A 15,683-nucleotide genomic window follows, 5' to 3' on the forward strand; every position below is an offset into this window, starting at 1 on the left:
CGATCTCTGCTCACTGCAAGCTCTGCCTCCCGGGTTCATGCCATTCTCCTGCCTCAGCCTCCCGAGTAGCTGGGACCACAGGCACCTGCCACCACGCCCGGCTAATTTTTTGTATTTTTAGTAGAGACGGGGTTTCACCGTGTTAGCCAGGATGGTCTGGATCTCCTGACCTCGTGATCCGCCCTCCTCAGCCTCCCAAAGTGCTGGGATTACAAGCTTGAGCCACTGTGCCCGGCCAACCAGAAACTTTTAATTTCACCCCACAGTGCTAAAAATATTCCTAAACTATGAGTCTACTTTCTTGGTTTGGTAAACACTCTCTAAGAAACATAACCGTAGCTCTCTGAAATAATTAAGAAATTCTTCAAGATCCTAAATCTTCAATAACCATTTATGCATGATGAGAAAAAGTTAGTAAATTTAATTTTCCATATAACCAAAACTTATTCCTTTAAGTCATTCTTTTAGCAAGTGTGTGGGAAACTTCTATGTACCAGATACACTCTAGGTGTTGATCCCTGCACTTGTGGAGTTTATATCTAGCAGAGAGAGAGAGACAACAATAAATGTAATTAATAAGTAAATTATATACTGTAGGATAAAAAATGATAAGTGCTGGAGAAGCAGCAGAGCAGATGATGATAAGTGCAAGGGCAAGGGAGGTCGGGCTGGGCTGCAATCTCAAATAGGGCCTTCTTGTGGAGAAGGCCTTTGAGTATAGGCTTGGAGGTGAGGGAGTGAGCTGTGCAGATACTCTGCCTAAAGGCTCTCCAGGCAGAGGGAACAGCCAGTGCAGAGACCCTGGGGTAGAAGTTGCCCAGAGTTTCAAGGAGCAGTAAGGAAGCCACTGTGGCTACAGTGAAGTGAAAAAGTAATATTTTAGCTCAAAATCCTCCACTGCCTTCCCATTTGTCTCAAAAATCCTCGCAGCAGGTTTTAAGGTCCTACAGACCTGATTTCACTACCTTTCTGATTTCACCTCTTACTTCTCTTTTAAGTTCATAAACATTTTTATTTATTAATATTGGAACAAAAATATCTTTTAAAAAATGCATTATTGGCTGGGTACGGTGGCTCACGCCTGTAATCCAGCACTTTGGGAGGCCGAGGTGGGCAGATCACCTGAGGTCAGGAGTTTGAGACCAGCCTGGCCAACATGGTGAAACCCTGTCTCTACTAAAAATACAAAAATTAGCTGGTCGTGGTGGTGCATGCCTGTGGTCCCAGCTACTCAGGAGGCTGAGGCATGAGAATTGCTTGAACCTGGGAGACGGAGGTTGCAGTGAGCCAAGATCGCGCCACTGCACTCCAGCCTGGACAACAAAGCGAGACTCCATCTCAAAAAAAAAAAAAAAACAGTCTCACTATGTTGCTCAGGCTGAAGGGCAATGGCTATTCAGAGGCATGAACATTGCACACTACAGCCTCAAGCTCCCAGGCTCAAGCAATCCTTCTGCCTCAGCTTCCAAGTGCCACTGGTGTGCATGACCACACCTGGCTTTAGTTGAGCAAGTACTGAGCACCTTACATATGTTAAAACATACTACAATTCATCCTGGTGTAGATATTAAACTCCCTTTTAGAAAAATGTATGCATAGTGAATGATATATTTACATTTAGGTCAAAATGCTTCTGAAGAAATCACTATAGAGTATTAAAGTGTATCAGGAATCATAAATAGGTATTACTAAGTTTGCATGTCAAAGGTCAGCTTTATACACTTAATAGGAAAGTAGCCTCAAATTCATCCTAAGTTTTGGCAGCCAGCCTCCAAGGTGGCCCTGATGATTCTCACTTCATGGTATTCTAGCCCTGGGTAGTCTCCTCCCATACTGAAGAGGGTTGACCTGTGTGGTCAATGAGATACTGTGGAAATGGAGTCTTCCTATTCACTTTGTGGGGGAAGCCAGCTACATGAGAATATTCAGTATATGCAGAAGTCCACTTGCCTAGGAAGTGAGGTGTAGTCATGCACGTGAGCCACCTTGAAAGCAAATCCTGCAACCCTAGTCAAGCCTTCAGATTACTTTTTAAAAAAAAAAAAAAAAAGACATGGTCTTCCTCTGTCACCCAGGCTGGAATGCAGTGGCACAACCACAGCTCACTGAAGCCTCAACCTGTCGATCTGCTGGGCTCAAGCAGTCCTCCCACCTCAGCCTCCCGAGCAGCTGGGACTACAAGTGTGTGCCACCATGCCTGGCTAATTTTTAAATTTTTTTGTAGAGACGAGGTCTCACTATTGTTGCCCAGGCTGGTCTTGAACTCCTGAGCTCAAGCGATTCTCCTACCTTGGCCTCCCAAAGTGCTGGGATTACAGGTGTTAGCCACCGCACCCAGCCTGCAACCTCTTAAGAGTCAGAATCACTCAGCTAAGTGACTCTTGGATTCTTCACCCAGAGTAATTGTAGAGGATAATAAATGTTTGTTTTAAGCTGCTAAGTTTTAGGGGGGTAATTTGTTATGCAACAACAGGTAATGCATAGAAACCTGTCCAATATAACTCATGGAAATTTTGTCTTGCCATTTCATCTATTGGGATGGGAAAAGATTGAAGGACTCTTAATTGTGAACAGTCAAAAGGTTGAAAATGTTATAAGAAGTTGCTTTAAAGAGCAGCTCATAAATCAATCTTTGTAGGAAAGCTGACAATTTCCAACTATGGGGTACAGAAGTTGGGCCTTGGAGTATACTAGGTAATTCATTTTCTTAAAACTGAGGACCAGACCAGGTACTCTGTACCTCCAGTAAAGATCAATGATCACAAGGGAGAGTCACACAGGAACTAATGGAAGAAAAGGAACCCAAACTCAGACTCCTGCTGCTCCCCTCTCATTACTCGTCACATGCTTAGTTTTTTAGACCATTTCTGCCAAAGTAAACAACAGTAAATAACAGCCCAACTTACCTTTACATCTGTATTTCCTACTCCTTTTATTTCAGGCACCCATGAGTCAAACCAAACAGAACCAACCACCAGTCAAGAAAATTACGCCTTCTTAAAAACTAATCTATACCTCCTACCACACACACAATGTGATTTTTCATACAAATCACATTGTATTACACTTCAAACATCTCACTTGAGTTCTAATTATGAAGGCAGGGTCATGTTTTATGTTTTTGTGTACCTGAGGCTTAACACAGCACCTCTAGGCATATTTCAGTAAATACAGCTGGTATACGTCGTGCCATTTGACTTCTGTATTTTAGTTCCTTCTGCTTTATCATCTTAGAACACACCCTTCTCATATACCTCTGTATCTAAAATCCTGGCTTACTTCAAGTATCATCCCAAAGAAATATTCTAATTTCTACTACCACCTACCCCCATTGTCATCCTACCTCATATAAAACAGAAGTAATCCCTACCTCATCTGAACCCCCACAGAATCTAGATCTCCTACATTAAATCTTAGTTGAATGAATTAAGAGATTGAGTTCAGGACTCGTCTCCTGGAAGTCTTCCTTGAATCTGCCCTCCTTTGCTCTATCCCAACATGCACTACAATGTATTAAATCATTTGTGTGCATGCTCCACCAGCATACCCTTCCTTCTCTGATGGCACCTAGAAAGGATCAACATGCTTTCAGGACACTATCAAAAACAGTGTTACCACACTGACAGTATGGCCATTCTCATCTTAGAAATGCCTCTTTCAACTAAAAATGAATATTCTTTCTTTTTTAGATAGCAGATATATCAATTTACATGAAGAGTTCGAAGGCTAGAACAATAAGCCCAGGTACATTAAGACTAATGGTAGAAAATCGGAGGTACCAAGGCCCTATGAAAACCAAAACCACCCCACCTTCTTTGCTGCTGGCCAGATTTTGGCAGCTGAACTCAGTTAAAGTTCATGTTCCTGTTTTCTTGATAGATGTCAAAATGTAATCTAGAGCCTGCTATTCAGTATCACCTGGATGCTTGTCAGGAATGCACTCTCAAATGGTCCAGCCACCTTAGAAAATAGTTTCCCGGTTCTTTAAAATGTTAGTTACCATATGACCCAATAATTCCACTCCTAGGTATATTCCCAACAGAAATGAAAACATACTTTCACACAAAATCTTGTACATAAATGTTCATAGCTGTATTATTCATAATAGCCAAAAAATGGAAACTGATGCAGGGACACAGAAAACGTGCTATAGCCATACAATGGAGTATTATTCAGCCACAAAAAGGAATGAAGTACTGATACATGCTACAACATCGATGAACCTTGAACACTAAGTGAAAGACGCCAGGTACAGAAGTCTATAAAACGTTATGAAATGTCCAGAAGATATAAATTAAGGCAGAAAGTGGATTAACAGTTGCCAGATGCTGGTGGAGGGGAAAAGGGTGGAAGGGAGAGGGGGATGGGGAGTGATAGGTACAAGGTTTCTTTTTCAGCACGGTGAAAATGTCCTGAAATTAGAATGGTGATAGTGGAACAACTCTACATGCTAAAAAACAGTTAATTGGACAGTTTTAAAGAGTGAATTTTATGGTATGTGAAATATATTTCAAACTACTTTTAAAAAAAGAGAAAATAAATTCAAATTCTCCAGGTTGACCCCAGACCTACTAAATCAAAATCTGCATTTTAACAAGATCCCTGGTGATTCCCATACACACTGAAGTTTGAGAAACAGTGATTTAAAAGATACATGGTCAAAATTGTTCCTCTGGTTAATCTCATTCACAGAATAGTTAACTTGATTTCACTAGGGTGAATTTTTTCTGCCACAATTGCTTGCTATACAATTAAATGCTCATATTGATTCTACAACTTCTGGTTTTTCCCTCAAAAATTTGCAAAGTTTTAGTACTGGTTGGAACCTGCACCGAACTAGGAGCAAAGCCTTGGCACTTTTTCTTTTTTCTATTGAGACAGGGTCTCGCTTTGTCGCCCAGGCTGGAGTGCAGTGGCTTGTTCTCAGCTCACTGCAGCGTTGACCTCCCAGGATCAAGTGACCCTCCCACCTCTCAGCCTCCCAAGTAGCTGGGGTGAGAGGTGCACAACATCAGGCCCAGTTAACTTTCTGTCTTTTTAGTAGAGATGGGGTTTTGCCACGTTGACCAGGCTGGTCTCGAACTCCTTAGCTCAAGCAATCCTCCTGCCTGAGGCCTCCCAAAGTGCTAGGATTATAGGTGTGTGCCACCACATCCGGCACACATGTATTTTTTAATCCTCAACAGTACTGGGTATATAGAAGATGCTGTCACTTTAATTAAACCACCAGTTTTGAAGGGAGTGGCAATAACATACGTAAAGTGAACAAAGAAGGTAGAGAATCTAATGGGAAATAAGACAAAAAAAACTCACTCACTTCAGAAAAGTTTATTAAAGGTAAAATCAGATTTACAGAGTATAAAACAATAAGGGATAGAGGTGAAGAGGTTTCAAACAAACTATGAGTACAATAGAAAGTAAATTACCTACCTGGGGTTCTCACAGCACTTTTTCTTTACTTCTGCACAAAGCCTAATGTGTTTTTTAAAAAATCCTTGGAAAAGTCTCAGCAGTCATATATTCTCATGATTTAGCAGTTAAACAAAATGTCCACAATCCACAAAGAAAGAGGGGTGGACCTAAGTGACAGGGTACTAAACATATATACTATGATAAGCTCTGCTTCCTCTGTTCCAGTTCTTTAAATTTTGTGTCTGTGTTTTTTGGGGAAACGGTTATCATGCAAAATGACTGTCTTGGAAGCAGGAGTTGAGGAAAGGAAATTCTGGGCTCTCTAAAAAGCCTTCTTGCCTCCTTGGTGCAGTAAGCAGCATGTCTTGTAAAAAGCCTAACTTCTACCAGACTTATAACCATATTATGCAATTGGTACTTTTTTAACTAAGCAAATTTTATAAAGAATTTGAAACGTTTTGTGGGTACTTATAGCCAGGTACTGCACATAAATATCACACTCAAATTAAGAGTGCAGGCTCTGCAATCAGCCTGTATGGGTTCAAATATTGATCCCAGATCACAGTTATGCAAACTTAGGCCAAGTTACTTAATTTTTCTGCCTTCCTTTAACAATAAGCTTTAGTATTAGTACATACCTCAGAGAACAGTTATGAGAATTAAAAAAATATACGTAGTTTAAAACAGTACCTGGCACACACGAGTATTTAGTGTAGATGCACACAGAGCTTCTTTCATATAGAATGTGTCATATTCAGATTTACACACTAGTTATTAGTGTTAATGGGAAAATGGAATTAGCCTCATTTTATTAGATTTTGATTCCCTAAACTACAATTCTATCTGTATCATGTCAATAAAAATGAACTCCTTGAGCACATGAACTATATGCTAGTCTACCTTTGTATACTCCAGGATGGCGGAATGTGTCTTTTTACCACATGAGGTGATGCCATTAGTATATTCCAGGGCCTGGCACGACATCTATTACATGGGTGTGTAATAAATGTGGAATAATTTATTTCTGGTAATTTATGGATTATCTACAAAACCAATATAAGTGGATGTTATTAGAGACCTTTAAAAACCTATAATTTTACTCATATTTGCTGCAAATAAGAGTAATGCAAATGTAATGCTGAATGGAACTTTTGAGGCATTAAAGATTTTTTTCCTATATAGTGAGGAATAAAACTAAGACTTGATTGAAATAACTTTTTTAAAAAAAAGGATTTGAGCACAACAGGACAACAAAAATTGGCCCTTTGTACACTTCGGTGCAATTTCTGTCTTAGCTGCTGAGAAGCAGAGGAAAAGCACCACCTTGCTCAGAAACTACCTTCTCCACAATACTGAGAAACACACCAAACAGGGGCAAGGCTTTTTGAAGCTAGGAATAAAGAAGCTGCCCATCTTTACTAATAGGAAACAACGGGTTTTAAGGTACCCAGTAAGAGTCTTTCTTCAAAACAGACATCTCACTTACCTTTTCAGTATACTTCCTAAAAACATTAAAGACAGATGTAAGGCTTAGCTGGTAATTTCCATGAACTCAGTCTTTTCCTCTGACTGTGGTGGAGCAGACACGATTAAGCAGGTTTGGAAATGCTAGAAATGAATTCCTACTTCCCCTTGTATTCTTCAGATCTCATTTTCCCCCAAATTTCTGCAGTGGTTGGCTTCCATTTCAGCATCAGTCACGAAATCTTGAAGGTCAGACACAGTAAACAGGGAAGGACATAAAATTAAGTGATTTGGGCGTAGTTTTGAGTCTCACAACTTTAACAGGGATGAGTCATACATTAAAGTATGTCGAAATAAATTACAAGTTCTGTTCCTTAACGAAAATCAACTCTTAGTCAAGCTAAAGGTATTAGTTTGCTATAGTCTGAAATTCTGTATGTTCCTTTAATAAATGTTGAGGGGAAAAAAGATGTAATTCCCATGAAGACCAAACACAAGTTGATCAATTCAGTGTGAGTCTTTGTCCTTGATTTATTTTGCAGTACAAATGTGTAAAGGAAAAAACAAAGGGAATAAAAAATACTAGCAGATTGTTCTAAGTGATTTTCCAATTTGCCAATCAAATTTGAAGTATTTTATTTACCTACCAATTAAGTCAGAAAAAAGGAAGTGAATGTTAAATGATTATTAGTAGTATAAGCTTTAAGTTTAAAAGATAAGGGTTATTTAATTCAACTGTTTTCTTGGTTATAGGAAATTAGCATTCAAATTAACTTCATTAAGATAGGAGAAAAAATACTGAATAATTCATCTGGATGGAGTTAGCCAGGAAATGTCTTTATATTTTGCAAAATTATAAATTGAAACCAAAATCTGATATACTTCTAGGTTAGCAAACAAAATTCTTTTTATTTGCTTCCTATAAATCATTAAACAGGTTTGCTGTACTCACTCAGTGACACTTCAACTCCCTTTGAAACCCAAGTGACAGAACTAGGTCACTACTTTGGGAATGGAATTGTGAGTAGCTAGATCAGAGAAACACTGAGACTGACAAAACTTGCTTTTTTGGAAAATGGAAGAAAAAGTCATCAGTATGCCATAAGAGTTAGAGCATTCTGACCATAAAATCAGGCAGTTATCCTTGCTGACTGGTCCTGGATTCCAAATGACACATTCCTTCTCAATGTATTCAATCCATCAGCAGCTCAGAAGCAATCCACACTGGAGACCATTTAAAAACGTGCATTTTGCAATAACCATTATCTATCTTAGCAGCTAGAAAGGCAAAACAAAAGTTAGCATATCAAACTATCTTTAGGGGCTAGAGCAGAATATGAATTCATTAACGATAAATATAATTACTAGAAACAATGAAAACTGATCCAGAGGAATTTTAAGAAAACAAAAAAACCCTCAAAATGTCTATTATGCCAAGTACGGTCAAAGTATTCAAGCATCCTCCTCCCTCTCCACAACTTCTATTTTTTTCTCTCTTCTTTTTTCTTAAGGGGTGGGAGTCTTGCTATGTTGCCCAGGCTGGAGTGCAGTGGCTATTCACAAGTACAGTCATTGTGCACTACAGCCTTGAAGGCCTGGGCTCAAGCCTCAGCCTCCCAACTAGCTGAGACTAGAGGCACATACCACCGTCCCTGACTTACAACTTCTATTTTCAGGTTAGATTCCAGAAGTGTAAGAAGTATAAAATATCATGGATGATATTTAGTATTCACTAAACTGGAAGGAGAGCCAATGAATTTACTTATACTGCCCAATTAAATAATCAACATTGAACTCATCTTCAATCCCAGAAAAATCCATGAATGAAAACTGGACATAGCAACAATTGCTACTGATGCCAGACTGAAATAGCAAAGGGCAAGAGGAATTCATGCTACCTACTCTTCACTTTATAAAGAAAAATAAAGAAAAAATAAATTTAAAAAAGAAAAGGAATTTCATTTTTTCTGAGGAAAAAAACTGAGAAATTAAGTAAGACAGAGTTTGCAAATATATGAATGCTGGGCTCAATGTTTCTTAGTTTGCAGTTAAAAAGAAACATTCACAAGGAAAACAAATGTACATGTAAGTCACTTTCAAAGCAAAAAGATACTGCTTGGCCGGGGATGGTGGCTCACGCCTGTAGACTCAGCTACTTGGGAGGCTGAGGCAGGAGACTCGCTTGAACCCGGGAGGCAGAGGTTGCAGTGAGCCAAAGTCACACCACTGCACTCCAGCCTGGAGGACTGAGACTCAGTCTCAAAACAAACCAAACAAATAAAAAAACCAAAGCAAAAAGACACTGCTCAAAGCTAATCCATGGGCAGTACCTGCATTAAAACTGTTATCTGCAAATAAGGCAAAAATAAATACTGTTTGTTGCAGAGTGGAAATGCATCCTAGATTGGATTAAGCTAAGAGGCTTGAGAGGTGGCAACCACGGACTTCTGCTCTTAGACATCCTGGTTTGTAATATTTTGTTGTTCTGACAGCCAACTTGATCATTCTTCCTTGCATTATAAATTTTCACAGTAAATCTTACCTTCGGGGTCAGTGGTAACACCTATAATACTTGTTTGTATTTAAAATCCTCTAATATCCAATACATTTAATCACAGCCTCACTGACATCTCAATTGCCCTTGAGACTCAAAACAGAGGGGGAACTTCTGAGAAATGTAATTATTATACCTCTGTGCTTAGGTTGAAGACAACTTCATGATCTGGAGAATTAATTACTTTTTGTTTCTCTTCATGCCTGGTTTATAAGAAACTGAACATTGGACATGAGAAAAAGTAGAGGTCCTATCACTTTACAGGTGTTTTTATCATTCATTTGAAGTCTATTCCAAAGACATCAGTTATCCCACATATAAAGGTGCATATAAACTCTCACTTCAAAGTTAAACTACTCTGAGCTATTCATATTTGCATTCTTCTCTAATGGTGTAAATAATCAAGAACCAGAGAAGTTACGCCTTCATCGTAACAGCCATATTTCTCTGGCCTATATAGCAAATCCAGTTACATTTTAAAGTGTGTGCGTGGTTCTTTAAAACATTAATTTCAAACACATGAATAACATTATTGTTTTATTTAACCCAATATTCAGTGATCCCTGACTGGGTTGGGCTCAGTAACATGTCTTTCAAAAACAAAAAAAATACTAGACTCATATATATTTTTTGAGTAAAGCTGCTGGCTTTGTCTCCATACTTCCACTCTGTTCTCTTGACTCAGTTCTCAATTCAGGGCCAAAGTCAAGAGCAAAACTGAACCTGTAGGCTAGTCCTTGGTAAAAGTAAGGCAAAATGGCAACTGACTTGGCAATCTCTCCCAATTTGGGGATGCCCTGGACACAGTAAGCAGAGTCAAATGTAAACTACGTCCTAAGAAAATGGCAATTTCTGTAGTCTCAGGTCATGAAAATACATTTTTAAAAACTAATTGTCTGTTAAAATTATTTTAGTTGTGAAATGTTAACAATATCAGGATAAGGAGTTAGACAAAAAATCTTGGACATAATTTCCAGTTTTTTCCTATATATACTTTCTCAACAATCTAAAGCCACCAAAATTCTCTTCATGAAGTCTTATCCTATCTGTTGCCTAATGATGATGAAGGAGATCAGATTTGGGATTTACAGATGTCCTCCTCTGGAGACGCTTTTGCTCTGGGACTGATGGATACCAGTGCTGTTAGTCATTTCTGCTACCTGGATACAGAGCATCTGGTGTAAATTTGTGCATCCAGCCTGGCTCCCATTTTCCCCCAACAGCATGCTTAAGGAATGAAATGCTCATTTCATGTTAGTTGTAAGCAATCTACATACAAAGCATATCAGGGTACAAATTACTTAATATGTATTTTTATCATCTCCTACCTCCCTAATGCTGAACCCCACTCCATTCCCTGCAAACTTTTGTTTTAAATTTTAATTTGAGAAAATATTTTTCCTACATAATTGTCTTCTCCTAACATCTGTGGACATTCTTCCCACTTTCTTTGAAAAAGATATTATATCATGCTTCTGGAAATTAAGGGGAAAAAATCAGTGCTAAAACTAGAGGTTGAAACTAGAGGCAGATCTATAGTAGAAGTATATATTACTTTTCATAAAAATTCTCACCCAAAAAGTCCTATCAAAGGGGTTGCAAAGTTTATCTGGTTACCACCCTCCTCCCTTTCTTCTTGCCTTTGGTCCCATGAGTGAGCCTTAGAAATCATGGTCACCAGCAGACTGCCAGGGACAAAGTGAATGGAAGTTACTTTTGAGAAGGGGGATTCAGGCTGGGCATGGTGGCTCACGCCTGTACTCCCAGAACTTTGGGAGGCTGAGACGGGTGGATGACCTGAGGTCAAAAGTTCGAGACCAGCGTGACCAACGCAGTGAAACCCCATCTCTACCAAAAAGACAAAAATCAGCCAGGTGTGGTGGCAGGCACCTGTAGTCCCAGCTACTCAGGAAGCTGAGGCAGGAGAACTGCTTGAACCTGAAAGGTGGAAGTTGCAGTGAGCCAAGATTATGCCACTGCACTCTAGCCCGGGCGACAGAGTGAGATTCAGTCTCAGAAAAAAAAAAAAAAAAAAAAAAGAGAAGGCGGATTCCATCTTCCCTTTAGGTAGAGATGTGGCATGGAAGCAGTGACTGAAGCTACTGTAGTTTCATTGGCCAAAGGTTATAAATTTCTAGCCCAAACTTTCAAAGGAAAATGTCACCACTATCTTTTAATCATAGGTAAATCAGTTATTACCCTCTTCCTCTTTCATGAAAATACTAACATATGTACTCTAATACCATGATACAGCGCTATTAATCAGGCCCTTATTTTTCAATCTAAACTGAACTTTCAAGTAACTTTTAAAAAAATGCCAAAGCAAGGAAGAAAAGTGAGAAAATTTGTATTCGATTCTACAGTTATATAATCTGTGGGGGTAGTCACTTTCAAAATAAATGGACATTTTCATATGTCAATAGCCACACTTGTATTATTTACACCATTTCTCCTTGCTTTATGAAACAAATTTATATATATATATATCAGATGAAATTTCCTACTGACAACAATTTCAAAGATGCCTTACCATCTTTGTATTTTTTTTTTACAAAATTGACGAAACTTGTATATATTTACCATATGATGCTTACCATCTTTATTTCTGATTACTCTTAAGCAGCATCTTCTCCTTTCCTCCACTAACTTTTTTAAAAAGTAAATTCTTCAGTGGACTAATGGTTCCATCTGATTGATACCTTGGGTGAAATTCCTAATTTTATCTTGCTAAATAACTTAGTTTACTATAATATAAACAGAATGTACAAAGTGGAATATTTTTAATATATTCTTAATCTCAACCTTTCCTAGAATTCCATCAAAGGTTTGTTCTGAAAGATATGATAAAGACAAATCAAAGCAGGAAGAGATCTAGGTTTGTAAAAATACAGTTTAAAAAAAAAAGGAAGAGAATTTATATTATGCATTTGCAGAAGCTCTTGTTCTCATAGATTTTGCAGAACTAGTCCTTTTCAATCATTTAACTAGGAAGTTCTACTCCAAGTGAATAAAGTTTAAGCAAACTTCAAGTAACTCCAAGTAAAAGACATTGAAGACAACTAGTTTCCAAAGAACACTTGTTTGACAGAATTAATGACTAAATTAACCTTAAAATTTAAAAATGTGTGACATACCTTGTTAATAATTAAAATAAAGGCTGTTTTAAAGCAACTTTATGAAGCAAAAGAGTAAGTCACTTCCAAGGTTCCTTGGTCTTCTGCAACTTCTAGGCACGGAAAAGAACTTACAAGGACATGCAGGGTTCACTGTGGTATGTCTGTCTCAGGTATGTGAGATATGATATGGGGCTTAAATCCAATAAGGGCTCTGGGGAAATAAGAAAGCATTTAGGGACAAAGCAGGCCTGATTCTGAAAAACTGAAACCATGTTTTAGATTCACGTTTGCTATTCACTTTACGATTAAGTAATTCAAGTCTTCTGGATAAAATTTCACACAGAAGGGAAATACTACGAAGTCCTAAGTATGTCCTAATGTAACATGAGATAACCTTTCTTGACCTTTGTGATTAAGGGAATTGATGCTCTATTTATAAAAATAAAAGAGAAATGAAATATAAGTAACTGTTTTGGCTTAAACAATATCATTTAAATTGTTTCATAAACAATTTTTTTTCAGATTGAACATGCCAAGTATGCAACTAAACAATAAGAAAATTTTCACAACCCTAATGTTAGAAAATGTTCCATTTTATACTTTTTACCTATGTCCTTCTTCAAGCCTGAGTGCTCCAATACATGCTAGTGGAAAAAAAAATCAAAATTAGCATTAACATAAAGATTTTCAATTAATACTATAAATAGAATCCCCAGAGGGGAAAAAGGCCAGAATAAAATAAACTCAAATATGTGACTGAATGAGTAACCCTTGAGACATACAAAATCAAACTGTATTACTTACCAAACCTCTACACCATCTCCTGACAGATATCCAGAAAAAAACTGGGAAATCTAAAATGTATCATAAATTGGCAGAGAACACTTTAATAGCCCTCCCCCTAAACAATATAATTCAAAATGGAAATTTCTAAAATAATTAAGTATTATCATTCTGAAGTGTCTTATATAATTTCTAAACTTATGAATACATTTCCAGAGTTTTCTGCGCCCAAGGATGCTAAAACCATTCAAAAAGAAAGGGGGAGAAAAAAAGAAGAAAAGCAAAAGTTAAAGCTTATATATAACGAGAAAAATCCAAAACAGACCATAGGGTAGAGAGAAGATGAGGGGAGAAGAAAGAAAGGAAAAGAGACAACACCAAAGTTAAAAAGCAAAGCAAAATGAAAACCTTTTATCTATAGCACTTTGGGGCTCTATTTTGTAAAGACTAGTTATTATGATTTGAATGATAGCTCAATGACTAAATACTTGCTGTAAACTTGAAAAAAAAAAAAAAGGTGAATTAAACCTCCCTGCACCTCAGTGTCTTCATCTGTAAAGTGGAATTATTATTTTAAAGAACACCTAAAAAGTACTTTAAAAAAAAAATTTCAAGATGGCAGTCCTCTCACCTTGGCCTCAGAAAGTGCTGGGATTATACAGGTGTGAGCCTAAAAAGCAATTTGAACAGCACTTGGCACTTACTAAGCACTTAACAAATACTAGCTATTAGAATTAGATAAGAGTATATATTTAAATAGTATTTTATACACTATTTTTATTTTTGCAAGGGAAAAGCAGTGATCTCCCTGAGGGGCTCCCTGAATGGCTGGAATTTCAGCTTCAGGGTTTGACAATGTATCTAATGATATTTAACTTTCAGAATAGCTTCAGGTACATTCTGCAAAATACTCTTGACGAAGTAGCTGACCCAAATATGGCAGCACTCCTCTTGCCTGGCATCAATTAATACTATTGATATTAGAAAAGAGATGGAAGGCAGAACGCCCTTAAATATAGTATCAGCACCCTTAATCATGGGTAAACTGAATGCTCAAGTTTGCTGTGGGGATAACCAAATCCACCAAGACATACTTAATTCAACCAACTTAATTTATTTTATTCCTTTCCTCTAAAAAACTCAAGCTCAAGCTTTTGTACATACAAAGAATCACACATATATCAATCACAAAATATGGAAAAGAAAGTATCCTGCAATGCTAACTAAGGTCAGGGGTAACAGAAGCACACAACAGCAGATTAAATTTTAAAAATTTAAACCTTTAGAATAAACCTTCTGGTGTTTTTTTTTTTTAGTTTTTAAATTCAAAACTCCCCACACAGTAAGTCTAACATAAAAAATATATTGTAACTAGCTCTAAAGAGCTAAATATGTATTGCTAGAGAAAGGTAAGAATGAAAAAAAAGAACCAGAAAGGTAAATTTTTAGTTGTAGTATCTATAGTTATCACAAACTAGCCATACAATTATCACTTAACCTTTCTGGGCCTCAGTTTTCTCACAGTAAAACAGGGATACTACTACCTAAATCAAGGTTATTGTGGATATAAAGATAATACAAACCACCTAGCGTCGTGTGTCTGGCATATAATAGTACTCAATGAATGAGTACTATTCCTATAAATGGGGGAGGAAGGGTGTTGCATTAGATATCAAGTCTAAGGTCAAAATATCAAGAAGCCTTTCTTATTCATACATTTCCTCAGGAAGAGACAGCTAAGGCATAAACACCATAAGAAGGCACGTCTAACAGACTCCGTCTAAGGCAGTTTATCACCACAATTAAATAATTCTTTTCAACAGTTTTACCTATAGCATGGATAACTACAGCGATATGCACATAGACCACAATAACATGACAGTACCTTTGCTTTCAGAAAACACAACAGAATACGATATGTACCCACCTATGCAATTTTTAGGAATAGAAACAACTGGGAAAACAACTGGGTTGTTTTCTGCCATTTGGTCTGTGATCGTTCATGAAGTGGGATTTTGACAACTGTGAAGCAAGAGACTGCTCTATAATAGTCAAGAGCAGGAAATCGTCAGTTTTGCCCTCCAAACCTCTGAACGCAAACTCTCATATGGACTAATCCTAACCATTTTATTATTTTCTATTTACAGATTTTGTTACCCACAGAATCTAGATATTAAGATTCAGTCCAAATTTGTTGTCTGTCACTTAAATAATTCCAAATACCCCCTGAAGAGGGCCACTGGTTGGGGCCTGTAAGTTATTTTGTACATGACTCAACCATATATTTCTATTATTTCATCAGTGACAACACATTCCAATCTTTGTCTTAGGAAAATGAAATAACTGCCAAAATA

General features: G+C 37.5%; 1 long non-coding RNA gene across 1 annotated transcript; it reads right to left on the reverse strand.

Annotated features, from left to right (window-relative positions):
- Window positions 1-5,313: 5,313 nt before the first annotated feature.
- LINC01355 (long intergenic non-protein coding RNA 1355) lies at window positions 5,314-9,523 on the reverse strand. The gene is made up of 2 exons (NR_110616.1): window positions 9,115-9,523; window positions 5,314-8,415 (listed from the first exon to the last, which is right to left on the reverse strand). It is a non-coding gene; the product is annotated as a long intergenic non-protein coding RNA 1355 (long non-coding RNA).
- Between the last annotated feature and the right edge of the window lie 6,160 nt (window positions 9,524-15,683).

The sequence above is a fragment of the Homo sapiens genome, chromosome 1 (genome assembly GCF_000001405.40).
Source record: "Homo sapiens chromosome 1, GRCh38.p14 Primary Assembly".
NCBI lineage: Eukaryota > Metazoa > Chordata > Mammalia > Primates > Hominidae > Homo > Homo sapiens.